This window comes from Homo sapiens, chromosome 13, assembly GCF_000001405.40.
Source record: "Homo sapiens chromosome 13, GRCh38.p14 Primary Assembly".
NCBI classification, from domain to species: domain Eukaryota; kingdom Metazoa; phylum Chordata; class Mammalia; order Primates; family Hominidae; genus Homo; species Homo sapiens.
Genome location: NC_000013.11, coordinates 28835218 through 28860534, shown reverse-complemented (window position 1 = coordinate 28860534; position 25317 = coordinate 28835218). Strand labels below are relative to the sequence as shown.

The following is a 25317-nucleotide window of genomic DNA, read 5'->3' as shown; positions in this document are numbered from 1 at the left end:
CTGAAGGCCAGATAGCCCCCTTCCTAGCCGCATTTTCCACATGACACTGGATTTCTCCACTGGTTTCACATGAGGAGTCTGAAAAAGCCAAGACCTAGGTCTCCTTTCCAAATCCCACATTCCGGCCTGGTGATGGTACCTGACATCTCAGGGGTTCTCTGCTCACATCACTTCAGATACTAACCTCTTAGGGGGAAGAAAGTCAAACAACCTGATTCCTACAAAAAGCTGGCAAAAGAGTGACTATTAGAAATGCTGCCTCATTTCTCCTCTAGCAATTGAGTCATTTGCATGTTTTCACAGAAAATGAAAATAGTTATCAGGAAAAAAGAAACAACAGTATTTGTTTAAGGGAGGACGACCCTCAATAAAATCTAGAAATTGTATTTTGATTTTATCTCCAAATGGAAGCTCTCCCTGCAGATGGCAGAACATCATAGCACATGGCAATTAAGCAAATTCTAAATCCATCCTGCCAAAGATTATCTACCACTTTGTCTAACTGATCACAACTAAATGTAATATAAATCAATCCCTCCTTTCAACACTGCCTCAACCCAAGCACAAGGTTCTGCAATGAAAGTAGGCAGGATGGAGTGTACTGATCAGTAAGATTAATTCTGAAATAAAACCCTACAATCTGCCTCTCTCTCTCTCGTCAGGCCTCAGGGGAAGATGCTACAGGAAGGGCCTCCACCCACCCCCGTCTGTGGATCCTGGTCATCCCTCACAAACTTTGTCCCTGAACAACATACAAATCTCCCATATTCTACCCTTTCTCCTGTATGTTTCTCTGTGCAGCTCCTTAAATAAACACAGCCTTTCTTAAATCAGTCACAGGATGGTCTACCCCATCATCCTGCATAAGTTAAATATGTTTTGCAAAAATACAAATGTACCTCTGTCCTTAAGTCTAATAATGGATACTTCTACTCTACACGACACTGAGTTCTGCAAAGTCATGAGAGCCTTCATTACTGTAGCTTAGAAAGCTGGCAGATGCCCACACACACAGGGCCTAAGCAGCCAGCACATGCCTAATTCCCCAGTCCTAGAAAGTAAAGGAGGATTCAGATAGGGCCAGCTTACGAATGGGGATGTAAACACATTTTTCCACAGAAGTCACTGGACCGCAAGGATGAGGTCCATGAGTTAGTCCCCAAAGTTCTTTTGTTCATTACATCTCTGAAGAACCCAGCCATGCCTGCCCACTATGGGGATTGTCCTCAGACATCCAACCAGGGACAATGCCACAAGCAGCCCACAGTTCCCACTGGGCCCCAGCCACCCCTGTAGTACTGACCACTGAACAGGGCAACACAGGGTCAAGTCCAACCTGGTTCTAGCCCCACTAGGCCTCAACTTCTCCTTCTGTAAAATGCAGCTAGCAACACCTAATTCAGGATGTTATGGAGAGAGCAAATGTGATGACTGCACAGGGCCTCCCATGTAATTATCTACTTGCCCCTTTCCCAAAAAGCAGCCTGTCTTGAGTACCTGCCGTCTCCTGCTACCAAATTATTCTTGCTTCCCTTCCTGGGTTACCCAACTTATTGGCTGTCTTTACCGTTTCCCACTCCTCTCTCCACCTGAGTGGCAGCTCAGTTCAGGGAGTGTGCACTGGAGAAGGAACTGACAGATCTGGCCTCAACTCTAGGTGTCCCGTTTCCTCATCTGGCAAAGCTCACCCCTTATCTGAACTTCATCCCCACCCACTCTGTCACTCATCCAGCTAAATCTTCCCTGTTCTTCCAGATTTTGCAGGAAGCTCCCCGACAAACATACACCCTACTCCCTGTCCCCTCTCCACACAACAGTCTGAATTAGGGGTTCCTCCTTCATATTCCAACAAGCCTTGTACATGCCTCTGGAGAAATTAATGCATTCTATTTTAAAGTATATGTCCCCTCTCTAAGTGCTAAGTTTGAGGGTGGGGGATAGATGGTGGGCACGTGCTGTAATTTTATTGTCAACTTCCAATGCAGCAAACCTTCAAAACACATTTGATGTTGCCATAGATAATGACAACAATGTTCTGCCTGTCCTACCTGCCTGGGAGGTAGTGGATGAAGAATGGGAGGAAGGAGAGCCAGGGACAGAGTAGAGATACAAGTTTAAATAACTATATGAAAGAACTCAGCCAACTATTAATTGCTATGCAATTAATATAGTTTTCTCCAGCAGGTCAGTGAAAAAGACAAATTTGCAATTCCATGCTTTTTTCTTTAGACATGGGTTTAATTCCTGAGCCATAACCCCAGTATAATACACTTACATAAACTAAAAATCTGATGCAAGGTAGAAAAGTCTTTCAATCCTAGATACCTTCATTCAAGAATCCTTCCTATAAGATAATTTCAACTTAAGGGAAGATCTACACATCCTGAAACTCCCAAGCATATGAAGACCTAGCCTCTAAGGGAAAGGCACATTCCCACTCAAGGGCTTTTTCCTTCTCATTTTTCAATTAGGTCAAATCCCTCTACTTTATATCCAGAGCACCACACTGCTCTCCTGCATGGTACCCAGTGCTGTTGCAATCGTACACTTGTGCTTTTAATGAGATTTAAAACAGCAGGGGCCAAGCATGGCTTTATACACTACAGTGTTCTTAGTGCCCAGTCCAGGACTCAGGGCATGTAGCAGAGACTCAAAAGGATCTCTGGAAAGAATGGAAAGGTAGATGGATGGATAGATGATGATGGGTAATGCTGGAAATACCGAAGTGAACCCGTAAGGTAAGATTCTGCGCAGAACACTGGAGCAAACTTGAACATAAGTAGGCATCTCTCCTGACCTTGATTTGTTTATATTCTGATTCCCTAAGTACTTTCTTACATAGTGATCATCAAAGTTCCATTAACATGTCCTTCACTGCTTCCATATTATGTCAAATGTATTTCCATTCCCTTCAGTATTTATTAAAACACTTGAAAAGGGCAGTTCTGTAGTTTGACTTTCAAAACCATTAATTATCTATTTCTGCCTTTTCCCCAAAGGCAGCCTGTTCTCTGGCACTTGCTGCCTCTTGATATGAAAACCCTCTTTCTTCCTGGATACCCCACTCCACGTGTGCAGTATCTTTACCTTTTCTTTCAGGAGCCAATTTTGTTCTTATCTGAGTCTCTACTCCATTTCCCACATGATATCTTCCTAAAGACTGATCTCTGATCTTCCATCCCTCTAGGAAGTTCACGGACCCTATGACTTTAGCCTTTCAGATTTTTAAAAAGACGAATCACTAGTTGGATGGTCAAGTTTCTACATTTAAGAAGGCTTGCCTTTGTCTTCTAGATCTATCATCTTCATAAATTTTCTCAGTTGGTACAACATTCCCTGTAAGAAGCCACCCATTCTATACTCGAGATGGCTCTTTGAAACAGTATTAATAGCTACTGTAAATTAAATTTAACCTGTCTTAATACACTCAATGCCGAGGTCTTCCCTTGCCAGGTAAACCAGGCAAATGGGCAATCAGCCCCTTCAGGAAACACCAGCTCCTCACTTCCTTAGAGTGTCTGGGGTGAATGTGCGCAACCGCTCAGATGTTTTGACTCAGTGGCTACGAAGTTGTGTTAGCAACACTATAAATGACAGGAGTCTCTCTCTGCACAAGTGTCTTGCTTTTTTGGTTTGGAGTTTTAGTGGAGTTTCTTGTGGGAGAGGTTGTACGGATATACTGCAACTTAACAAAATCACAGCAAAAAGCAAACAAAGATGCGAAATAGGACTCTTTATTTTGGCGGGGTAGGGAGGCTTCTGTTCTACAGCCAATGAAAAGTAGTCATTTTTTAAATCCTCCTTAGGCCATTTTCAGTTTTGTTGGCTAGCCAGCCGTAAATGCACAACTTGATATTCCGTAAACAAATCTGTCAGAGAGATTTCCCCAGATAAGCGGCAGAGTTCTGCAAATTTGCAGATGCACACAACTGCAAACATCAGCACCACTGCTGTTGTTGCTGGCAAAGTGACAACAGAAGCCCTGTTTCCAGCTGATGGCCCATTATCGCTTGGGCTTCCAAGATCCTGCCTGCTTTCCCAGTGGCTCTATCTGTTCAGCCAAGCGCCAGGCCCTCGGAGACACCCAGTCTGACCAGCTATGAACTGCAGTCTCAGGATGTGTCAGACTGAGCATGCATCCCACATTGTTGGCTGCATTTGGGCCTCACCACTGCTAAAAAAGATTTTATGCACAATCTGGGACTTCCCTACATATGCAGCCATCCGTTTACTCAAACAATACTTAGTGTGCCTAAATGTGCAATGTGTCCAGCTTTGCAAGGCAGCAGTCTTCAAACTGGAGCACACAGACACATTTCAAAGGTGCTCATTTTAAGGGAATTAGTTTACAGAACCTTATATTCTATTTGTACTTTTTCCTAAAATTGTTCTGCCTGGGAACATCTTTTCTCTCACAACTACCCTTCTTCTGTTTCTTAAAGAGAAGAATACCCCTCACACATCCTGAATCTTTCCAGGGTACATAGATGTGCGGTATAAAACCTTCCAGTGACAATCATCAGAGAAACGCAAATCAAAACCACAATGAGATACCATCTCATGCCAGTCAGAATGGTGATTATTAAAGTCAAGAAACAACAGATACTGGCAGGGCTGTGGAGAAATAGGAACGCTTTTACACTGTTGGTGGGAATGCAAATTACTTCAACTATTGTGGAAGACAGGATGGTGATCCCTCAAAGACCTAGAACCAAACATACCATTTGACCCAGCAATCCCATTACTAGTATATACCCAAAGGAATATAAATCATTCTATTACAAAGATACATGCATGTGTATGTTCAGTACGGGACTATTCACAATAGCAAAGACATGGAATCAACCCAAATGCCCATCAATGATAGACTGGATAAAGAAAATGTGGTACATATACACCATGGAATACTATGCAGCCATAAAAAGGAATGAGATCATGTCCTTTGCAGGGACATGGGTGGAGCTGGAAGCCATTATCCTCAGAAAACTAACACAGGAACAGAAAACCAAACACCACATGTTCTCACTTATAAGTGGGAGCTGAACAATGAGAACATACAGACACAGGGAGGGGAACGACACACGCTGGGGCCTGTCAGTAGTGGGGCAGTCTAGGGGGAGGGAGAGCGTCAGGATAAATAGCTAATGCATGCTGGGCTTAATACCCAGGTGATGGGTTGACAGATGCAGCAAACCACCATTGCACACGTTTACTTATGTAACAAACCTGCACATCCTGCACATGTATCCTGGAACTTAAAATTTAATTTAATTTAAAAAAATGACTAGTGCCTGTGAGATGATAGAATTATGCTACTAAAGAATAATCTATTAAAATAAAAAAAAAACCTTCCAGTGACAAAAGCACAATTCGTATCGGCATATCAATAAAAACTGGTATATTTATCTGTTGGGATCTAACCAAAAAAGAATGAGTCTACTTTATTTGGCACAGAGGGAATTACTGCAGGGAACTGACTAAACCAATGAAGGAAGAGCTGGTAAACCAGCTGGGAACCTCGGAGAAACACCAAGATAAGTAAGGGCTGGAAGCTAGCACCACCCCTGAGCTAAAGGGACAAAAGGAGGGGATGTGTCACCAGAGCATCCCCAGGAGGGAGATGGAACCACCATGAGCCCATCCAGTGGGAGCTAGAACTGCCAGGATACTAAGCTGCTACTGGACACGCCACGGAAGTCAGAGAGTGGGAGGGAAGACATTCTCTGGCTCCTCCCACTGAGAGCCTCTCAAATTACCCAGTGATCAGATTCTACTGGCTAGACTGAAAAGCGGAATATAGCTGGTTTTATTTCTTAAATGTCAATGTTTACAACAACCTAGGGATTACTTTGTAACTTTTAAAATTTATGATAAACCAAAGGAACTTTTAAAAATGGGCGGGTATATATTATTTTTCAAGGCTTTTTAAGAGGTACATGAGCAAAAGTTTAAAGATCTCTGTGCTGGGAAATACAAAGATAGAGAAGAGCTATCCCTCCCTCAATGTGTTCATGGACTAACAACGCAGAGGGGAAAAGGCAAAACTGAACGGTGGTTCCTGAGAGGGCTTCACATTCAGACAACCCTTATAAATCTTCTGGGAGGCAAGGATTGTTGTCTCTGTTTTACAGATGTGGGAACAGAATCTCAGCAGGTCATTAAGCTGCCCAAGGCCAAGTTTGTAAGCAACATAACTAGAAGTAAAAATCAGACATCTTTAGTTCCACAATTTCTTGTGGAGAGAAATGACTTCCTGGTTTCAGATGCACAGAAGCAGCATCCTTATAAAATATTCCCTAAAGGAGTGTTTCCCAGACTGTAATGTGCATACAAATGACCTGGGATTCTTGTTGAGATGCAGATTATGATTCCAGAGGTCTAGGGTAAGTCTTGAGATTCTGCATCTCCGAAAGGTTCCCAGCTGATGCCTCATTTGCAGACCACGCTTTGAATAGCAAGTCCCTCAAGCAGTGGACACTAAGCTTTCTTGAGTGGACACCCCTAACTGTAAGAAGCTTTGAGCATGCATCCCCCAATACAAGTGTACTTGTTTATTCATGCATTGTAGATTACATGTATTCTGACCAGTAACTACTATAACAAGCCATCCTATACAGATAGCACAAGATACACTGTTATAATACTAGCTATGAATCCATATTTCAAATAATCTTCTTGATGATCTTGAACTCCTTGGCCAACTTCTTATATAGTAGTATTAAGTTATCATCTGTTTTTATTTGGCTAAGGCAATTCTCACACAAACAGTAGCAGAAGGAATATAAATTCTGCCACCTCTTTGATGCTCATTTGCACTTTTACTTTTTAACATGATGGTCAATCTCTGGTTTTTAAGCCACTTCTGTATTTTGTGAAGGTCAATTTGGTTATAACTAGATAATGTAATTTGTAAATCTACTTAATCCCATACACATATGCAGCAAAAAGGACAAGGGTATGAAGGTGTCACTGTTTCCACTCCACACAATGGAACTTCCACCAGCTGCCTCAAGACACCTCGGTTCAGAGCCTTACAGGTTGCCCAAGTGAGGCCATCTGTGTCAGTCCTTATAGCAAAATATAATAAAACCTTAGTTTCTGTCTCATCAGCCACCCCCAGCAGAATTTTAGGAGCCTCCAAGGCATCCACTCCGGCCACTGCCGTTCTAGAGAAGAGGAATATGTAACCAGTAGGAACATGGAGAACAAGAGATCACTTTAACAATTCAATGTGCTGCTGCTTTCAGGATCAATACATTTTCATAAAGTTAACAAATATATCATCAGTGGAGAAAACATTTTAGATGGGACTTTTTACCTCTTGAAAATTAAACTCCCCGCCTACCACACATTCATACATTGAACTGTCCCCTCCCTTTCCCACTTTTCGAGATTTAAATCTCTTCCAACCAGATCCAACATGAAGGCATTTAAGACAACAGAACATTTAAGTAACTGTTGATTAGAATACAATCTCAGACCTTTTTCAGATCATCAGATGCCATCCATCCATAGGAATCTTGCATGAAAGTTTTTTCCAAGGAATGAATGAATGAATGAATGTATGTATGTATGTATGTATGTATTTAAGACAGAGGCTCGCTATGTATGTATGTATGTATGTATGTATGTATTTAAGACAGAGGCTCGCTCTGTCACCCAGGATGTATGTATGTATGTACGTATTTAAGATAGAGGCTCGCTCTGTCACCCAGGATGGAGTGCAGTGGCGTGATCTGCATCCCAGGTTCAAGCAATTCTCCCTCCTCAGCCTCCGGAGTAGCTGGAACTACATGGGTGTGCCACCACACCTGGCTAATTTTTGTATTTTTAGTGGAAACGGGGTTTCACTATGTTGCCCAGGCTGATCTCGAACTCCTGACTTCAGGTGATCCACCCACCTCGACCTCCCAAAGTGCTGGGATTATGGGCATGAGTCATTGTGCCCAGCCTTTTTCCAAGGAATTTTAAAATTCTGTAAGTTAGTGTTGCTCAGAAACAAATATATTTTTAGCCTCTCAAAATAGAGTCCTGGAAGACCATTAGCCTCCCTTTTCACAAACTGTTGAAGACAGACCTCCCAGCTACTGTCCCACCATGTCTGTATTAGTTTCACTCACTTTTTTTTCTAACAGATATTTAATGAGTGCCTCCTGTATACCAGACCCCATCCAAGGTGTGGGGAAATAACGGAGAATAAGAGCCATACAGTCATCCTCCCAGAGCTTCCAATCCAACTGGAGAGACAGATGAACAAAGGAGTATGTAATGTACGGAGAATGCTCTGAAGAAAATAAGTCAGAATAAAGAGGGCAGGGAACACAGAGGGGCACCAGATAGTGTGATCAGGTGAGGCCCCTCTGAGGACGGACATTTGAGCAGGTGGAGAAGAGCCAGCCCTGTGCTAAATAGGAGGGAGTAATCCTGCAAGCAGAGGGCACAGCAAGTGCAACCCCTGAGACAGGAAAGTGACTGAAGGTCTAAGAACAGCAAGGAGGCATCAGGAGCGAGGGGGAGGGAGATAGATGTGGGGTTCAAGTCCCGGTGTGATGGAAAGCAAGTGTGAACATGAGAGTGCTATCATCTCATTTAGGTTTTAAAGACTCACGCTGGCTACTGTGTGGAGAGTAGACTCCAGGAGGGAAGAGTGGAAACAGCACACACCTACAATGCCACCCGCTCCAGGAAGCGGTGCCCCAGGCCAAGCTGGGCGCTAAGTCCTGCTCAAGTGCTCCTACCCACTCAGATACATCCCACAGGGCCGGGGCGGAAACTGACACTTCGGGGATCCTCACTTGCACAAGCCCCTTCAACATACACATTCATCTCTCTACCAGGTGCTCCTTTAGTAATTTTGTATATTTTTTAAGGAGGGCCTCTGGAACTGTGCGTGCTTCAGGACCCTGGTCAGAGTCCTTGTCAGCAGGTACCAGAAGTACCGGATCTATACTCATCTATATTTCCTCTTAGACTCTAAGTGCCTGGAGGGCAAGAACCATATCATATATATCTTCGTATCTCTGACATCTGCATAGTGCCCACTATGTTGTAGTCACTCAGTACATGTTTTCTTAATTATTTGCATATACATGTGATGATTTGTTTTTGAAACAGGTACTCTGATTCCTTTTCTTTGTAGATCAGCCAATGCCATGGCTTTGGGAACCACTGGTCACTTACAATGAATTCCATCACGGTCAATGGACAAATGTATGTGCTTACATAATGGCATTTAAAAACATAATTTTGAATGTTTCAGAATCACCAGGCCTGCATTTGAATTATGTGAATGTTACAGATCTCTTATTTCTCTTAGGTCCACTCCAGATATTTTTATCACTTATCTCTACTTCCTATACCAACATAAGTAAAGGCTTTACTGCTAAGAAACAAGACAAAATAGAGCATAGAGACAGCCCTCAGAGACACCTCAAAGCCTCACAGAACAAACAGCTTCAGGCAAGAACAAGCTTCCATCCTTTTCAGAATATGTTTTAACTTGCAAATAAATGATCATCCTCATTTAACAGCGATATTCCCCTCCCTTCTGGCAAACGAGAGATACACTCAGCTGCACACAAAAAGGGGAAATTTTCATCTAAAAATAAATGAAACCATGGTAAACAGGCAACTGAATTCTGAATGCAAAAATCAAGGTAAATTTTCTCTACCCAATGATCTCATATGAATAGAAAACAAGTGATTGTAATAAGAACAGGTATAATAATGAAATTTTATACCCACCATGAGATTTTAATTTTAATATATCTGTCTGAGTTTTGCTAGAAAATGAATCAACTGTCTAAAGACCAGTCTCCAGGATGGTTTAGAGACATCCTTAAGACATCCTGCACAAAGAATGAAAGTTCTCTGTATCAAAATTAAACTTCATTTTCACAAGTCCCTTCTCCCTCTACTGTTTAACACCTTAATGTTAAGCATACCCTCTGGGCAATTTATGTTTTTAATATTGCTCTTGTAAATAGAGTTGATCAGAACTCACTGCTGCTGGGAATTCTACACAATATTGCAAAGTTCTGGGTTGAATCTAGAGAGAGGGTGCCTGGTGAGACTGACAGAATGCCTAGCCCAGCAGGGCTGTCGCTGGCCAATTAGCCAAGCTTGGCCCCTCTCCCTGAACTTGCCACGAGCCAAGATCAGAGCACAACAAGAGACACACACACTTTCCATGTTGTATCTGAACCCTGAGAAAACAGGGCTGTCCAAAAACTGGGATGGGGCCCTATACAGAGGGGAATGTATCTGTCTAATGTCAGGATGACATTTACATTTTTGTCTATTTCTTGAGTTTGCGGACAATATAAAAGTACTCCTTCAGGTCTCTTTCTTTGTCCAGGTAAGTACTATCAGAACCTTCAAAGGACCTTATACCAACGAGCAGACTGTTGTGTACAGCCTGTGACAGGCGTCCATCCAGTGGGCCCTGATGAACCAAAGGGAGATGCTCTCCCATCCTTACGGCCTGTTCCACCAACCATGAAAAGCTGCATTTGTCCCATTCATCGTTTCGAAGCACCTGAGGTTTCTATAGAATGGAATCTGATAAAACATGACACTACCTTGTTTCCTGGATTTGGAGGGGGTAAGAGAGGGCCAAATAAGATTGTTAAAGACTTTTTATGCAGGAAAAACTTGGGAAGGGTTTCATACAGGCTGCTGAACTTGAGCTGAGTCTTGGAAAACTCAGAGGTAGAGAGGAGAGGGAAAACAGCATTCTAGACAGAAGAACGTCATGGGCAATGAGAGAGAGGCAGCACAAGGCATGTTTAGAGGAGAAGCAGGAAAGTCTGGCTGGAGCAAAGGGTTCAAGCAGGAAAACGGTGAGAGAGAAATTGGGAAGTCAAGCACTTGGCTTTCCCAGCAAAGCCAGCACAGATGGCGTCCATGGGGCAGTGCAAGGTAATTTCTGAGCTGGCTGTAGTTATATCTGTCTGTGCCCCTAGCCTCAGGTAGTGCTGCTGTGAAGCTCAGTTTCTAGTTCCTCTAAGGACTCTGTATGATGCCCACTTATTTTCCTATTAGAGGTTTGTGTTGAGTTTGCTTTTTGGTGCAGCTGTTTGCTTAGAGCATATTCCTCTGTGGCTGTAGACCAACTGGGCTTTCATGAACTTCTGCTGTGTTTTTGCCTGTTCAGCTCTGCAAAAAAGCTGATGCTAGAGTTGATAACTTTCTATCTTCTCCCTCTTAGAGATCCAGGTGTCTTATTTTTACTGACCTAACACTTGCTTTGAATCTTTGAAATAACTCTCATAAACTCCGGCACATATTTTCCATTTATCTAACTCTGAAAGTACAAGAGGAGTGTTTGGAAAACAAATAAAATGCTACTATCTTCAGGAATATATGCACTTATGCATTTAACAAACAAATACATATGAATTGTGGACTAGGTTACAGGGTCTGTGCTAGACACTGGGGATACATTAGTAAAGCTCTCCAAAACATGCTAAGTGATCATCGAAACTATTCATCTGATGGATTAAATCATAACAAGGCTGTTATAAGAAGACCATGCAGCAATATAGGCTATTCATCCAGACTGGGGTTTCTCAACTCTGGCACTACTGGCATTTGGGGTGGTAAGATCCTTTGTGGGGAACTATCCTATGCATTACAGGATGATGAGCAGCATCCTTGGCCTTTATCTGTTAGATGCTAGTGGCACAGTGTCCCCAGTTATGACAGCCAAAAATGTCTCCAGACATTGCCAAATGTCCACTGGGAGAGTGGGCAAATCCTTGTAGGTTGACATCGAGACCATTCGAGCCAAAAATATCTCCTCGTCAACAGCAGCGGGATTGGCAGGGAATAGGGTGGGGCTAGAAATATCAATTATTATTATAAAGTGATAACGGGAATGTTTACTGAAAGACTCTTCTAAGTTAATTTTCTTTGAAACTCAATAATCACACCCCTTGTTACTGAAAATACTTCTGAAATATTCATCTCTCTTCCTACCACACTAGATACCACTCACACACCAGGTACCACTAACATTCCAACAAGTTTGTTTTTATTATTTATCGTATAATGTAATCCTTTTGACTATTATCATTCTTAGGGTATCTAACACTATTTTTCAGAACAGCAATTATTGTCATACAATACTACAGATATAAAACATCACAATCAAACCAATATTGGCTGACCCCAATACATATGAACCATGAGTGGCTTAGGAAGGATGGAGAAAAGGGGCTTGTGAGTCCCACCTCTGTGTTTCCCCATTAACATTCCTTTAAACTATTTTTTTGAAGTTGTTTGTATATTGGGCTATACCAATAGATAGTAAATTCTTGGAAAGATAGTAAATTCTTGGAAAGCAGAAACCAAAGTTTATTCCTTTTGACGTTCTCAGCATCTGGCACAGTGATTATCACAAAGCAGGCATTCAATATATATATATATATCCCTGAACTAGAAAAGGAGGGTGTGACAGGAAATGTGGATAAAACATAGAGTGTGGGACAGGTCTTATATTCCTGCTAAGAAATCGGGGCATTATCCTGCAGATAAGTGTATAGTGAGGTCAGATGACAGGAGGGCTGAGCCTGGCCAAGGCAGAAAGCCCTGGTAAAAGCCCACCTGTGACAGTGAATAGGCCTAGCTACTCCCCTCCTTCCCGCTCTCCTCCCAAGTCTGAGCTTTGCATAACGTTGGCGCCCAGAGGCTGCATCTATGTGAGGTCCATCCAGCATCAGGAAGTATAACTCTGAGACAGCATCAGTCTTCAGGGCTGCTGCATGGTTTCCTTGGACAGTGCCCTAGCAAGACTTGAGACCAGCCAGGAGATGGGCCCGGGAGGTGCTGAAAAAGCCAAGATGAAACAAAGTCTAGGAAGATGCTATCAAGAGAGTCACAGATGGAAGAACTAGGCCACACAGGAAAGGAAATGAGGCCTTCCCTGCAAAACCACCCTGCCAACTCCTTATCAATTTGCCAGAGCCACAACAAGACAGAGGATGCAGCGGAAATTGATAGGCAAGGGGGAGAGGTACAAAATCACAATAAGTTATCCTCAGTGTCCTCTAGACGAATCCAGGCCTGACATCCCACTGAGCCCCATTTCTAGAGATCCTCTTGCCTTTGCCTTTGGACTACTCCCCTCCCTCTTCCTTTGCACTGAGAAATCCAAAATCAGAGCTCCTATGCCCTGTGTCCCTCTATCTGGGAGGCAAAAACTTATACTCCACCCTCATCCTCACCTTCTCATTTGCACTGGAACCAAGAAGAATCCAAGGAACCAAAAAAAAACCTCAAGTGATATTGACTTTATTGTCAGAAACTCTATATTGTTCATGCCTATTTGAATATCTTCCCACTTTGTCAAAAATAATTACCTTAGGTGATTTTCTGGCAGGCTTCTCTTGCCATCCTAAATACAATACAGCACACTGGCTCAGCAGGAACCTGACGAGGACATGAACTCTTCCACATCACCCCCAATTAAAACTATGAGAACCACAAACAATGAACCCAGCCCTCTGTACTTTGCTCAGAAAATCCTCATTGATTCACCAAGTATTTATGGATCCCCATTACGTGTAAGACACTTTGCCAAATAATATTGGGAATGAATAAGACATGGATTACACCACTGAAGAAGCATACAGCCCAGTAAGGAAATAATGTCTGTTCACAAATAACTATAATACAAGGTACAGGGATGCATGAGGTATGAAAAATCGCGACGGAGCTAGGACAAATTAGTGAGTTTCATAGACTATCAATTTTGTTATGTTTGCCTTTGAGAAGGAAGATGAGTCCTGATACCCTCTTCTATTAAGATTCATTGTTTCTTTAAGAGGGCATTTTCTTCCTAAATGAAAGACTACTTTGTTTTCTGAATGCATATACAAGAACTGCTTCTACATGAAGCAGAAGAAAACATGAGCTCTTCTGACAAGCAGTCTATTAAAAACGCACTGTAAGTGGCATATTATTTGCACATCTATAATAGTCTGTGGAGATTAACCTGCCCTGATAATTTCTCCTAAAGAGGAAAGAAGAAAACTACAACTAAAACATTTAAAAGACACACACAGCTTTTGACTTGATGGACTGAGAAGTGTATCTGTATGTCCTGGTGGATGTTAAAACGCTTGAGTGAACTGAAATGCCTCTTAGAACTTATAATTAGCCAAGTGTTTTCAATATAATTCTTTCGTGTTCTTTAGTTATTACAGAGACCTGACGATTCCTTTAAACTCCAAAGAGAGAGCTGCCCTGGATTGGGAGACCTCAAAAACTTAGTTTAGATTTCCCCCGTGGTCTCTCACGTGGGTTCCATATTTAAGAAATGTTCGTTCATTAACAAACTAGTTCAGATCAGTGCAGTTATGTAAATGCCTAAACACGATCCACAGTGCCAGGCTATAACTCAAGCAGCTCTACTTTCTTACAGGACTCTGTTTAATATGCCCTATTCTGAAGGAGGAATATATATATATATATATATTTTTTTTTTAAGAAAAAGACTGCATATATGTTTTTAAGAAAAGCAGTTAAATTAGCAAGTCTAGTAATGTCAAGTTCTTAAAGGAGACTTAAATGAGGCTTCATTTGGAAGTGAGAAGCAACATTTACTTTGTGGCAGGCACTGTTATATTATTGAGTGCTCTCCCTTCTCATTTCATGTAATCCTTACAGAGCTGCAAGCCAGGTACCATCCCCTTTTAAGGTAAGGAAACTGTAACATAAGTAAAGTCACACACTAAAAAATGCCAGAGCTGAGACATGACCCAGAGTGTCACCAAAGTCTACATCGTCCTTCTTTGTGGCTATCTGATGACTTACGTACCCTCTTATTCTGAGCAACATGTATAGCAAGTTGTCTAGGTTAAAAAAAAAAAACAAACAAAACAGAGAGGGAACATAACAGGGACCTCTACCACGAAGCCAGTCCTTCCATTAAATAAGTATTACACCATAAAGGATAATTTTTTTCCTTCCAATTTCTTAAATGAAGTGTCTCTCCTTGATCTCTCAATATGTCTCTGTGCTGCTGAAAGAATAAGCAAAAGACTAGGTAAATTTGTTTTCCTTTGAGATGAAAGAAAAAGAATTCTACTTCCCAGAGACACAAGCTTCAAATGGCTTCATTCATTCCAGAAACATTTCCTTAGTGTCCAATGCATGTTAGGCATTTATTGGTCAAAGTGTCAGGAAAATGGTAGTGAATAAACAGACAAAATCCCCACCCTTGTGAAGTTTACATTCTAGTGACAAGTGAAATTTACAGCAGAAAGATTAGAAAATGTTGCTAGCCAGGAGCGGTGGCTCACGCCTGTTACCCCAGTGCTTTGGGAGGCGGAGGCAGAAGGATGGTTGTTTGAGATCAGCTTGAGCAACACAGCAAGATGCCATCTCTACAAAAATTTAATAAAAAAAAAACTGGCCAGGCCTGGTGACACTTGCCTATAGTCTTAGCTTCAAAAGCCTGAGATGGGAGGACTGCTTGAGCTCAGGAGTTCAAGGTTACAGTGAGCTATGATCACACCATCACACTCCAGCCTGGGTGATAAGGTGAAATCCTGTCTCTAAAAAATAAATTAATTAACAAGTAAATTAAATTAAAATTTTAAAAAAGAAAATGCTGGCCAGGCATGGTGGCTCATGCCTGTAATCTCAACACTCTGGGGAGCCAAGGCAGACAGATCTCCTGAGCTCGAGTTCGAGACCACCCTGGGCAACATGGGTGAAACCCTGTCTCTACTAAAATACAAAAAAATTAGATGGGTGTGGTGGCGTGCGCCTGTAGTCCCTGCTCCTCAGGAGGCTGAGGCATGAGAATTACCTGAGCCTAGGAGGCGGAGGTTGCAGTGAGCCTAGATCATGCCACTGCACTCCAGCTTGGGCTACAGAGTTAGACTCCGTCTCTCTCTCTCTCACACACACACATACACACACACACACACACACACTCACACACAAATGCTGCAGACCCCTTCCTCCCTCCCTATGTGCCAAAGCTGCTCCCCAAGCCATGTGGGGTGGACGAGTACTTCTGAAAAGGCCTTTCTCCTATCCTGGCATCTAAGAGAAATATCCCCATATTAGCAACTGAACATTAAATACACACACACGCACACATGCGCGCACACACACACACAGCATTTTAAAAATCTGGACGCTAAGTACAATGAATAACAACTACATAAATATGACAAAGAATTAAATACAAAATCCCTTTCAGGCAAAAGCAGACATTAAAAAGCCATTTTTAAAATGTCATTTAATTCATTCTCCTATCTCCTAGACAAAACCAAACTCAACCTTCAAAAGAACTATAAATGATCTCCCTATGCAAACTCCCCAGCTTCTGCCCCAGGAAATCACGACCAAATGGCTGATGTGAGCTCAGGTTCTCAGTGCTTCTACAAGGAGAGGGCAGAAATCCACATTGTATTAAGAATGTGCACATTGAAGCAATAACTCATACAACATTTGAATAATTACCTATTCATTTTGAATTATTCTGTAATTCCTGTGATAATTTCAAATATGATGAACTCCTTTGACATAATATGAGTATCACAGGAACTTTTCCAGGATTCTCATTGTAATTCCTCATTAACTGGATGCATGTTCAAATATTACACAGCTCCCCGCTATCTGCTTCTAATAGCAGAAGCAAAGCCATTTCGTTTGCCTACTGGCATGCTTACCCAGTTAATTTCCAAAGACGACACAGTGCCAGCATGACCCATCCCCCGTGTGTGCCCTGATGACCTAGTTTAATAAAATCTGGCCTCATATCAAACAGATCACAGGTTTAATTCCTGGCTACAGCAGCTACATAACAGTACATACAAGAGATTGGTGCAGGGTAAATTGCACAGTCTTATGCATCATTTAATAAAGGACAACAAAGAAGCTTATATGGTTTCTATCATCTTAAGAGAATTGCCCATGTGACATTTACTGAATCCACCAGTCCCTTTATCCCAATAACCAACATACTAAAATTCTGGGCTCTGGATCTATGAATTTAAATATTAACATGTGTTTGGTCTTTTTTCTCCTCCTGTGTTTTCTGCCTAAGGAAAAAGATGAATTAGGGAAAGGATTAACCTTACCCTGCCTCAAAAAACAGACTTTGTGACCCCGGTGCTTCCAATCTATTCTTGAGGATAATTTTAAAGCAGAAAAATAAGATGTACACACCGCTGGGTTCCTTCACATTCTCGAAATCTGAGGATATTTCAATGATATAGATACTTCTGAATCACATGTAGAAAAAAAAAATAACCTTCAGGAATCTCTCAGGTCTCTGGGAAACCAATTGCAACCAACAATCCCCTCACATCTCATTATGTGGCACAAATTTAGTTCTAGGATTCCCCTGGCCTTGTTCAGCTGGTGTCCTCTAATGATAGAATTCTCTGCTCAATTTTAAAGCAGCTCTGGGGGATGAGACAGGCTGGTCTAAAATGCATAGTATTTGAGAAATGAAAAAGACATTGAAGAGTAGAGCCAGTCCGGATCCAAGGAGACTGGAAAGCCTAGTGGCAACAGGCATGTCTGGCTACATTAGCTCCATCCTTCACCTCTCAGAGCTGTAAAATAAGAGCCATGGCAGCACCTGTCCCAGAGGGGGTTCTAAGGAGCCACTGAGATAATGAGTGTTGGGCTCAGCACAGTACTGAACTAGGAGCACCCACTGTATGTGGCTGCTACTAGCATCTGCACAGGGTAAAGTCATTCCATCCCATTAAGCACACATCAAGCACATGGTGCTCTATACCTAATCTAACATTCGTTGCAGGAAAACCCACTAACTCCCCTTTTTCAAAAGCTATGCTATCCTAAATCTCTCTTGCTGCAGAGTATATACATCTTTACAGAATCATCATAAAGGATCTCTTCTTTAAAATAATGAGGACAACTATGTGGACCATACAGCGATAAATTATTTCAATCCAAAAATCATGAAGTTTCAGGACAGTGAGAATACCAGATCATCATCAAACCTATCATTCTGTTACATTTTAATATTCATTAAGCCAGTGTTTTCACAAATATTCCGTCTGTGTTTTCTAATAAGGAATATCATTCTCTCTACTGAAAGATAAGGAAACATGAAACTCAAAATTATTAGCTCAGTATCACAGCTGCCAAACATCAGATCCAAAGTGTCTTCATATTCTCACTCCCCTTGGTGTTCCACAGTCAAGGATAATGTCCACAAAGTAGAACAGACAGCTAAACAACTGCAGGGGTGGGAGGAATTAACTGATCTAAGTCTTCTTTATCTGGTTTCCCTTTTTCCTTCTGCTTCCTCCACTCATTAAAAAAAAAATCCACATTTTTTTCTTCAAAACATAGATCATTTGTGTGTTGGGGGAGCAGAGGAGAGGTCGTTTTAGATGTAAACAACACTGGGGCCTTTTGCACTAAATCTCATGAATGGTGTTTGTAATCGATCATGTTTCTGTGCTTCTGTATTCAGAGTATCAAATCCTCCACCATACACATAGAGGGGAATGGGGGAGAAGGGGGTAAATGATACAATAAGAAAACAAACTTTGGCCGGGCGCGGTGGCTCACGCCTGTAATCCCAGCAATTTGGGAGGCCAAGGCGGGCAGATCATGAGGTCAAGAGATCGAGGCCATCCTGGCCAACATGGCGAAACCTCGTCTCTACTAAAAATACAAAATCTAGCCAGGCGTGGTGGCACGCATCTGTAATCCCAGCTGCTCAGGAGGCTGAGACAGGAGAATCGCTTGAACCTGGGAGGCGGAGGTTGCAGTGAGCGGAGATCACGCCGCTGCACTCCAACCTGGGCGACAGAGTGAGACTCCGTATCAAAAAAAAAACAAAAAAACAAAAAAAAACACACACACACACAAAGAACTAACTTTGCATCACCACAAAGAGGAGGCCCCTTGAATATCCCTCTTGTCAATTTGTCTCCAGCACCCAAGAAACCAAAAGCTTTTACTTAGGCCACATACTTTGTGTCCACAGCATGGCATCTTTTCCACATGTCATCTCTTCCTTCTCATGTGTCTTCAGCGCCACAGTGGCAGCTGCCAGCTCTCCACTACCAACCTTCCGGCCGCTCCAGCGGCCACCACCATCCTCACCACCCCACAACCTGCACCACTTTCACCATGCCTCCAACTACCATGACTGCCACATCCACCTACTTACCCTATGACTTTTTCCCCTATCTGTTCTAATTTCCTCAATAACTTTCCAATCACCAGTCACATACTCCACCCGTAGCCCCTAAATCTGGCCCCAAAGTATTGCCACATCCCATTTAGCCTGCATTTGTCAACCAATATCTATCAAATACACATTAACAGCAACATCATAGCTTTTTGTTTCATCAGAAGATTAATTACAAAAATTTGTAAGTAATGAAGAACCATCCATTATGAATACACTCGACATTCTGAAAGCAAATCTCTTTTACTGGGAAAAACAGTCCAAGTTTAAATCGTCTTTGAGAACAAGGACATCACACAGGTGGTGGTCTATAGAATGAAGCTTTCATGATTAAAGTAGGGCGAATCTGAAAGCACATACTATAAATCACCACATGGCAGAAACTCAGTCATAAATTTAGTTTAAAGCACAGTTTAGGTGTTTCTTTCCCAGTTTTAGCCCTAAAAAGCTCAGGCTACCCTTTTGGGACCCCAAACCTACAGCTACTGTGCTTCTGGTAAGTTTCTTTTGAGCCACCCAAGTTTCTAATCAAAGCCAAACCTCAAACTCTTGTTTCTATCTTCTGTCCTCTATGACCAGACCTTAACAAAAAGTGTCCCTTCCTTAGAGTCTATCATGAGTTGAATCCCAACAAGGCAGAGCCAACTTCCCAGTTGCTCAGGTTGTGCACTGTGGAAGAGCACCATGTTTACGGAGGCATCGGGCTCATCATGAGCATCTCTCTACTCGTTTAAAAGTTGTTTGTATTTTTATTAAAACTTTGCTGATTTAAAGATGGGTAATTTGATTATTCATATTACAATTTTCCAGCACATGGCAATAAAATGTCTTGTTCTAAAAATCAGTATAGCTGAATAATTTCCCATCAGATGGAAGTGAATGTCTTACAGAGGGGTGCCTTTGTCTAATTTGCACAAAGCGTCATATGGGCTAGCAGCAGCCCTCAGAAAAGCTTCCCTCAAATGTTTTAAGCTTTCTGTGGTCTTGGCTGTTTACTAAAGCTTCTGCTCTTAGTTTAATGGACTGTTTGCACTGCATTCACGTTTTTCCTCCCAGTCTGGTCGTCTTCTCTCAGTAACTTCAGTTATCAGGCACATCCCCTACTTAAAGCTCATGTCCTATGTCTGTCCATTAATATTACTAAACACATGCTAACAATAACATGACCCTTTGTTACTGAAGATTAATTACTACTAAGTAAGAGGTGTCAATTCTAAACACCCCCTACAAATTTAAAATCACTAACACGTTACTTGAACTCAGTCAATATCTAACTAGATTCCTCACAGCTTTAAAAAAAAAAAAATTAAGCTTTCATATAATTTATTTTCATTGACTTCTTTCATTAATAATATCACTTTAAAAAAAAAAAAAACTACCACCAGCTATTTACCTTGAGTATAAGGAAGTAAACAACATTTGAGAGACAATCACAGGCCCAAATAGAATGGAATAATAAATCAGGTAGAAATCCACATGAACTCACCCTATTCCCCAGAAAATGAGTTTTACTGCCATTGGTGACAATTGGCCCTAGTAAACAATCCAGCTGTGGAAACCTTAAAAAGAAAAAGATACAGGAAAATTTAGAAGGAGAAAGATTCAGGAAAGCATTAACAGTAATTTTATTATAATAGGTCTTCTCACCAAAACATAAAGTTAGTTCAGAAGTCCCTGAATCTATGCAACAATTATACCACAAACTCTTCATAATTGGAGTTGCTTCATCAACTCACCATTTTTTCCATTAGCTGAGTCTAGGATTTTAGAGATACTTAATCTTATTTTCAGATTAATCCTCAGTGGATTACATGACTTCAGTTTTCTTTCTATATTAATCCCTCAAGTAGTTAATGATCTGAAAACTGATTCTTAAATAAACCATATAAATGAAGTATCTTAAGGACTTAAGACAGAGCTTTTGTCAGGGGAAGAATACCTCTGATATATGAATAATCACGTCCATTTTGTAGATCTTAATTTTCATATTGTGTACCAAATTTATACTGTCATGCTTATTTTCTTCTAATTCAGAAGCAATAAAAAACCAGAGTAGCTATGAATCCTACAGTATTAACAACATTAATATTAATTAAATCGTTAAGAAAATTTCAATTCAAAAAATCAGCAAATTACTCTCTTCTCTAAATTGTCCAACAGGAAGATTAGTTGCTAGTGGTAGAAAAGAGACAAATTTTCCTCCCAAATGTGGAGGCATAGACACCACAGAATGCCTGCTATTATTAGGTTGACTTATACAAAATTGCTGATACTCAACCATTTTTTTACCTACACATATCGCAATTTCATAATTTTTCCAAACAAAAAAAAAAATCAGGATTGAAAACCCCAGTGATTATGAAACAATTACATTTTCTAAACTACCTATTGCTCAACATACATCATTTTTCTGAGCAACAATGGTTTGGGTATGAGTAACTGATTCCATTCTAACTTACCATCAATGGTATCTAAAAGATAAGAAAGGAAAGGAATTAGCTCCAGCATTTGGAAGGGCTTATGTGTATCTTTTCAATTCTTTCTTCCCACCCAGTCCCCAATTACTTCCAACCCCCTCGGCTTCCCCCTTGCAACATAAGACTCTTTTCCAAGAGCATAGATATGACAGAAAGAAAAGCTGAGGGCTGGAAGACAAAAAGGTGAGAGGGAGCATGCTGATCTCTAACAGGGGCAGGTGAAAGGGAAAGCAGGCAAGAGCAAGCGAGGGACAAGATGCAGGGGGCAGATGGATGCAGGAATAAGATGCAGAGGGAAGCGTGGGGAAGAGCTGCCCACTAGCTCAGGACAGGCATGGCCAGGGAGCAGCATCCCACACAGGTCCAAGCCCAAGTCCATGGGGCAATGAAGGGAACATTTACTTCTGTCTTGTAATAAATGTAGTAACCCATCTATTTTAGGACCTACCACAACTACCACCACCAGCACAACAGCATCACAACCACCCCAACACAATGTTAATTCGAAGCATGCACAACACTAATGGAAGTAAAAGCTAGTGGAATCAAGGCCATTTGGGTACCCCAGATATAGAAAATTCACAAGTTCCCAAAGTGCATTTTCTTCTGAGAAGGAATAACAAAGGGTTTAAATAATTTTCCCTCCCACTAGGAGACCCATTAAATCAGCAGCCTACTATAAATTGTTTTGTTTTTGCATGAAAGAGCAGCCAGCTGCAAAATAAACTTTTTAATCTCCTTTTAGTGCCACCCATTTCTCTTTCCCTATTTTTTAGATTAATTATGTGAGGATAAGATGTAAGATTAAAATCAGCATTCTGTGACATGGTCACAGAATGGTGGTGACGAAGTCAAAGTTGACATGCTAGATGAAACCTGTCATTTTGTTCACATCCAATCAGAATCTTAAAAACACATAAGACCATGAAATGAAATGCAAGCAAAGTAAATCTGACATTCAGAGGCACTCTGTGTTGTTCCAATAGCGACTTTCCCCTTTAAACAGAGATATTTGGATCTACTGTGGACCACTACAGGGTTGAAGGTAAATGTACCAATGATGGCAGTGATAGTACTAATTGTAACAGAAAAAAAAAGAAAATTGTCATTATTATTATAATGGGTATGGTCATAGATAAAGAGCTGCAAATAGAACAGCTCTGAATTAACAGACAAGTTGGAATTATACTTCACATTGTGGAAAGGAGTTAGAACGTGACTTTATGTTAATACAGATATTAAATAAGAGTGTGAACAAAATTAAGGAGTACTGGCTAAAGTCTGTGAAGTAGATATATACATGTGTAGAAGATGTCAGGTACCATTTCAATGAGGCCAATCTATGAAGAGCCACCTAAGAACCAACTGGTCAACCTCAAACAGAGTAGCCCTAGGCCACTGGTAATTACCAACTGTGATCAGACTAGGGTCTACAGACCACCGGCCAGGAAACAGTACACGGAAGCTGATGTAAGAGGTAGGAAGAGCTGATGTTACCGAATGGCCCAGAATCCTAGATAAGAGTTGAGGACGTGAACTCTGCACATTGGTATGCAAACCCGAAACAGGTGGCTGCATAATAACCACAAAGAGAATTTGTTAAACATAGATTTGTTAAACATAGATTCCTGGACACCACCCTGAGGCTGATTGTTGTGCTCCAACAATTTATATTCTTGAAAGCTTTCCCTGGGTACTGCTGGAGCACAACTACAATGAAGAACAGGAGCTAGGGCAACAGATGGACACTACCAGAGAAGCGGTCTCTCGATTCAGCAGGAGTCTGAGCTGGACCATCAGGTATGCTTCACATACTAGTTCACTTAATCCTCATAGCAACAGCCTGAGTAGATTTCAATCACCCAATGTTGCAGAATAGGAGACTAAGGGGGGCAGATCTGAAAGGTCAATAACTTGCCCAAGGTAACAACACAAGAAAGATCAAATCCCACCTCATCACTTACTTCTTGAAGCTCTTCTGTGGGTGTCCACTGCCTAATATGAAATGCATTCTAAAGCCCCTTGTAGGTGCCCTCAAATAACATGGCCCTCAGCTCCAGCTCAGCCACACCACCCTTTCAACCACCCATTCCTGCTCCATGTGAACCAAGCTATAAGCAATCTCCTGGGCAGTGCTGTTGCAAGCCTCCCTGCCCTTGCTCCTGCCTCCTCCTAGAATGCCTCTGTCCTCATCTACCTCCTCTTCCAAGATGGAGCTCAGGCCTCTCCTCTTTGCAAAGCCCTTCCTGACCACTACCAACTCTTTCCCAGATAGAACTGACCACTCCCTTCCTTGGGTCTTGCAATAATTAGCACAATAAAACATGATACTTCTCTCCAGTATTCATACGACTGACCCTATGTAGAAACAGACTATGATTTTTTGAGAACAGATGTCAGTAAATATTTTAAGAATAAATAAATGCAGCACTACAGCCAAAGCTAGAATTTGAATCTGGATCCAACTCAAAACCAGTATACCATGCTGTGTCTCTGAAAGCTTTGCATCTACTTTCATGAAAATCACTCTTAACACTGTCAAGACAGTAGCCACTCAGCAAGGGGTGGCCAATGAGCACTTGAAATGTGGCTAGCCTAAACTGAGACGTGCTGTAAGTATGAAATACTTTATTTTGAGGATTCAACATGAAAAAATGTAAAATATTTCCACATGAAAAATGGTATTTTAAATATTTTAGGTTAGATAAAATATATTAAATTCCATGTTTCTTTTTGATTTTTAAATGCAGGTACTAGAAAACAGAAAATTACATATACAGCTCACATTATATTTCTATTGAACAGAAATATACCCTATAAAGTGTACCTTAACTCCTCCTTATTAATAAACCCATTAACACGATGCTAAGCATAATTTAGCCTTTCCGAATGACATAGAGCCAGAGCATCAAAGACTACTGCAGTGCTGAACAGCATGGCCCTGCTAAACACACAGAGTTTGTCCCTACACGAAAAGCTCACAGAATATTTTTTCAGAGTTCTACTGAGCCACTAAGTTTCTACTCTACCATAGCTGCTGGCACTTCACATGTAACTTCTCAGGTTTCTAATCTTCCAATCTAGATATTTTACTGAAATCTGAGCAGGACCAGGGCAAGGCAGAGCACCTGCCTTGGGGGGAACTAAAACTCTCAGAAATGAAGATAAACAATTTCTTAAATAACAGCTTTACTGATATGTAGCCCAGATACCATAAAATTCATGATCTTAAAAGGTGCAATTCAATGGTTTTTATCACATTCGCAAGGTCATGCAAGCATCGCCACTATCAAATTCCAGAACATTTTCATCACCCCCCAAAGAAACCCAGACCATTAGCAGATACTCCACAGCCCTCCTCAGCCCAGTCCCTGACAACCAGTAATCCATTCTGTCACTTGAATTTGCCTATTCTGAATACTTCATATAAACAGAATCATATAACAGGTGGTATTTTGTGTCTGGCTTTTTTCAATTAACAAAATGCTTTCAAAGTTCAGCCATCTGTACCAGAAATCGGTACTTCACTGCTTTTTATGGCTGAATAATATTCTATTGTATGAATAAGCCATATCTTATTTATCTATTAATCAGTTAATGGACATTTGGATTGTTTCCAGTTTGAGGCTCCTATGTACACAT

The 25317-nt window shown here is 41.3% G+C and overlaps 1 protein-coding gene across 11 annotated transcripts in view; it reads right to left on the bottom strand.

The window, feature by feature from the left end:
• MTUS2 (microtubule associated scaffold protein 2) overlaps positions 1-25317 on the bottom strand; it is a 685985-nt gene that overhangs the window by 645413 nt on the left and 15255 nt on the right. For 6 of the 11 annotated variants that reach the window (XM_047430227.1, NM_001384605.1, XM_011535019.4 and 3 more), the window contains exon 2: positions 20685-20757. The exons of 3 other annotated variants lie outside the window; for them this stretch is intronic. The gene's annotated coding sequence lies outside the window, so the exon portion shown is untranslated. Of the gene's footprint in view, positions 1-20684; positions 24387-25317 lie in introns of those variants that run through there. 2 more of the 11 variants (XM_017020500.3, XM_017020501.3) reach the window with 2 other exon arrangements.